Here is a 4,935-nt window from a genome sequence, read left to right as displayed (position 1 = left end):
TAGAACTAATTTCATGCAGAAAGAAGCAATGTAGAAAATACCTGGTACTAAGGAAACTTTTCTGAAGCCACTGAAGTGACTAACTTCATATCATATAGTTGATGCCTTAGGAGACCTACTGTTACCCAGTGTAATCACTACATGATAGAGCTGAATTTCTGCCCCACCCTAACTCTGCTTATCCTTAAAAATCAGGATGCCTGCTGTAAAAAAATTCCTTTTGTAATCAGACCAGTTGAGACTGGTTAGAACCAAGATAGCTGATCAAATGACTTTTAAAAGATCTCAAGCTTCATTATAATCTAATTTCCTTGCTAAATGGGACTCCCACCAGCACCATGACAGTTAGCAATTGCCATGACAATGACTGGAAGAAGTCATAAAAGGACCAAAAGGAAGGTGATACTACTGGTTCTGGGAAGTTCACTGCCCTTGCCCGAAAAGACAGGGATTACTCCCCTCGCTTTTAATGTTCAACCCATTTATTAGAAAAAAAAATTATATATTTTAAACCATTCATCCCTCACTCGTCAAGAAGTTGATTTGTAAGCCGTGTTCCTGCTTCTCAATTCTATGGACACTGAATAAAGCCTTTACTGCTTGATGCTCATGTTCAGTTTTATGTCAAGGCTTCATGACACCAAACAGGGAAAGACTCCGTTTTTATGGGTACTGGCTTTGTCAGTAACAAAACTAGTGACCCAGCATGGGGTCCTGGGCTAGATGATCAATCTATCTGCTTGGGAATCTCCCTTACCACCCTAGAGACTCTACAATTGGCACCTGACAGCATCAGTTGGTAATGAACACACATTTGTCTTGACTTTCCGTGCAGGGATCAGCTCTGGGGAAGGTAACACATCATTGTTGTAAGATCATAAGCAGGCAGGCAAAGGTTATCTAGCTGTACTGGGAAGGGCCCCCTAAGCTAAGCACAGTGGGTATGCTCACCCAAAATCAGGGCTGTGCACAAGGATGCCCTGCACCAGACCATGGTCCCATCCTCAGTAGAGGGCCCTGTGGGAGTTCTCTAAAGTGTGAGAGGAACCAGAGCATTTGAGGAGGATGATACAGAGACTGAGAGGTGAAGGGAACACTTTTGAGGGATTAGAAGAAATCTCCATTCTGAGGCTAAAGTGCCTAGGGGAGACCCTCTGAGACGGGGTGTCAGAGACACCTGGCTGGCCTTCAGGAAGGCACCAGAGACAGCTGGGTACAATGGTCAATATTGGTTTTGTGCACAATAAGGAAAATCTAGAGTTCAAATGGTTAACCTGCAACTTTAGGGTTAAGTAGAGTCTTCTAAAGCTCTATGTTTTCCTCTCTTTTCTCCTCTGTCTGCTTTGAATCTGGTGTTACTAAGCTGCTGGTGCTGAGATAAGACTCATTATTTATGGTCTAACTGAAATGAAAACATTAGAAACTCATTTGAGACTGAAAAAAACAAAAAAGTAAAACAGGGTTTTTAAAATAAACTGCCATAGAAAATACTTTCCCCAAATTTTCATTCATAGCCTTCCTCGGATTACGTACTGGGGAAACAAAGTTTAGCCAGGTCAATAGGTTCCAATTTTGTTTAAAAAATTAGATTCAGCTATATTTTCTAAAATGGGTAATTTATATTACTATCTCATGGCTAAAATTTCAAGGTAAAAGCCATTGGATCTTGTGTGAGGGTATGTTTGTGTGTGTGTGTGTGTGTGTGTATACATGCTTAAATGTATTTAAGTGTATACATTTGTACTATGCTATGTGGTATGTCTAGCATGCTACCAAATGGCTTCTAAGTAAATGAATACTCATAAATTTTAAAAGCCCAAATATTCTTTGAGTTTACATGAATTTAGTAATTTTTGATAAATAAAAACTTTTATTTTTTTAATAAAATTGAAATTAAAAAGCCTTGAAAATTATTAGCATACATTCTTATCTGAGTTTACTGATTAAGATGTCAGGGTTTGGCACAAATGCTGTTAGACTATAAACCCAGCCAAAAATAATCTTGTGTAATTTGTTTGACAGATAAGACTAACTTAATATTGCTGGTTCAATAAAAACAGCAAATTCTTGTTTGTTAGTGGCAAAAATAGCTATGTATTTAACTTTAAGTTTCATTCTTAGGTAAACACCTGATATTCACAGGCTATAAAAATGGTTAATAACAAATTAAGTTGAAATGATAACTAGCTTTCTCTAATATGTGTGTTTTCAAAAGTAATCTAGATAAACTCTTAAAAATGAAAGAATTAAATACATATAAAAGGGATAAATACTTGTAGGTAAGCTTTTTGTGTAATTTAAAATCTTAAAGTTATTCTAAATTCAATAGTCAATGCCTGCTAGATGTCTGGGTCATTTCCAATGAAAAGGGATTATAATACGAAAAAACATGTTTCTAAAAACCGTGGAATGGTTTCACCTATAAAATGCTGACATCTAAAAACCATTCAGGATTTCTTGCTTCTCAGGTTTTTACTAAAATTTGAGGCAACTAAGAATAAGAATTTTAATTAATATATACTTCTGTAAGTTGTGAGGTATTTTTGTTGACTAGAGATAGAGTTTAATTGTAGAAAAGCTGAGGTAGCAGAATTCTGAAACAGCAGCAAAAGGTTTAGCCCAGCCCATGTATTTACAATATACAGGAGCTGGGGTTTTCCATACACTTCTGTACTGCCCTCTCTCAGCTTCAGATTTATCCCTATCAGCACACTCATTTCTTTCCTGGATCTGCCTTGGCCATAAAAGACATAACTCTTCTGGGTGCTATCCCATCATATAAATCTAGGCATTACCTCCTAGTCCCTCTGGGTCTCTTCCCAGTATTTTTTTTTTCTTAAACATTTTTTTTTTTGAGGGGGTCTTGCTCTGTCACCAGGCTGGAGTGCAGTGGCATGATCTTGGCTCACTATAACTTTCATCTCTAGGGGTCAAGCCATCCTCCCACCTCAGTCTCCCAAGTACCTGGGACTACAGGCACAAGCCACCATGCTAATTTTTGTAATTTTTGGTAGAGACAGGGTTTTGCCTTGTTGTCCAGGCTGGTCTTGAACTCCTGGGCTCAAGCAATCTGCCCACCTCAGACTGGTGCTCTTATTACAGGTATAAGCCTCTGGGCCCAGCCTCTCTTCCCAGTCTATGACTCCAGAGCACTCTAGGGGCCTGTCTCTTCAGTGAAGGAGGCTTCCACTGGTGTTGTGGGAAGCATCTTGGGCATTGACTCAGGTGCGGGGGCCACTCTCTTCTTAGAGATAATCCTGATAGAGCTGGCAAAGGTGAGACAGTTCTTTCTCTGATGGCTGTTTCCAGCTGTACCATAGGTACCAGGGTTCACCTGAGACGAGGGTGGGGACTGGCAGAGAAGTACTCATAGCTCCATGAGAGGCACTAAAATCAAGGTCCCGGGGTTCAACTTGGGAGATGTGGTAACTGAGGAGACCATGATCCCTGGCTTTCTGGATGGCATGGGTCAACATCTTGTGCTGCTTCATACAGACTCCTGTGTATGGAGCGTGGAAGATAATACCCGTGTGGGCACTGACAAACTGTTCCAAGAGCTTAACATTCCTAAAGTCAACATGCAACTTGTGACCTTGGCAGATGGGGCAGGGATTCCCAGCGACTGTTTTCCTATGCATACATGTCTTTTGAGTCTGCTGTGGGGGTATATCACCCTTGTAGTAGTGGCAATAGTCCACCCAGTTGGGATGAGAACCCTATGGTTCTTGGTATTCTTCTGATTCCAGATATTTCCAGGGTTCATTCTCATATAGTGAAATGGGAACTGGGGGCAAAGAATCTTTCTCAGAAGGAGCTTTGGTGAAAGAGTCTGGAGGGGAACCTGAACTCCATTTGTACTTCAGAAGAGAGAAAGGATAGGAAGCTGCCTTAGTAGGTGTTTAATATGGGCATCACCATCTTAAACCCAGATCAGGTAAGTTGTGTTCTTATTGAGAAAAAAAAAATATATATATATATATTATTTTGTAATTTGGAGATTATTTAGAAGTTATTTATAACACAAGATTAAAAACAGTAAGTCAGAGAGAGAGAGACAGAGAAGTAAAAGGATTATATATATAGAGAGATATTTTTGATAAGGAAGGTTATAAAAAGAAGAAAATAATTTTGTATGAGAGAAGATCTTACACGGTAAATTTTTGTCCTAAAGTAAAATGACTTATTATTTTAAAAGAAGTAGTACAAACAAATCAATATGTTGTTCATGGTCTAAGTCCCAATAAAGATTGTGGGAAAACAAATTTATAAAAGAAATTTTGTATGTGATTTAATTGCCTACAATTAAAAAGAAATTACCTATAACAGTCTTTCTAAGATTGGTCATCTATGTTAAAATAAGATTTTTCTAAGGTATTAATTTACTCTTAATAAAATTATAAGAGGTTTGTTTTTTAATTCTATAATCTTAGACCTACAGCTCCCTTATCCCCAGTGGCTTCTGCAGGCAACCCACCTCATTGCCACCAATCACCCATTGATTCCTTTCAGATAGTCAACCCGGACAGTACCCAGTGCAAGGCATCTTAGCAGCCTTCCTCTATGATGACCTCTGGCAGGTCACCAATGGGAAGAGGGATGGTTATTGTACATGTTCTCTTCACAACTTCAGATATTTACAACTAGAAGTCACATTCTAGATGATTAGGAAAAAATCCTGGGGATTCAAAACCTCATTCAGAGTATTTTTCAGACCTATAACCCTAATTGAGCAGATGTCCAGTCCCTTTTGAACATTCTCCTCACTGGATGAAAAATTAAAAAATAAAATCCTCGGTTATCAGAAGTGCTAGGGAGGAAATGGACAGAGCCCACAGAGACAAGATAAAAAATCCTGTTAAGAGACCAGAGAATGAGGTTGTGACAGACCTTGACCCCTTTAGGATCCTGAGACAGGAATGAAAAAGGCAAGATTCA

At 38.9% G+C, this 4,935-nt stretch overlaps 1 pseudogene; it reads right to left on the bottom strand.

The window, feature by feature from the left end:
• Positions 1 to 2,942: 2,942 nt before the first annotated feature.
• MRPS18BP2 (mitochondrial ribosomal protein S18B pseudogene 2) lies at positions 2,943 to 3,935 on the bottom strand (annotated as a pseudogene).

This window comes from Homo sapiens, chromosome 2 (genome assembly GCF_000001405.40).
Source record: "Homo sapiens chromosome 2, GRCh38.p14 Primary Assembly".
Taxonomy (NCBI): Eukaryota; Metazoa; Chordata; class Mammalia; order Primates; family Hominidae; genus Homo; species Homo sapiens.
Note: the sequence above shows the minus strand (reverse complement) of the source record. Positions and strands in the feature narration are given on the sequence as shown.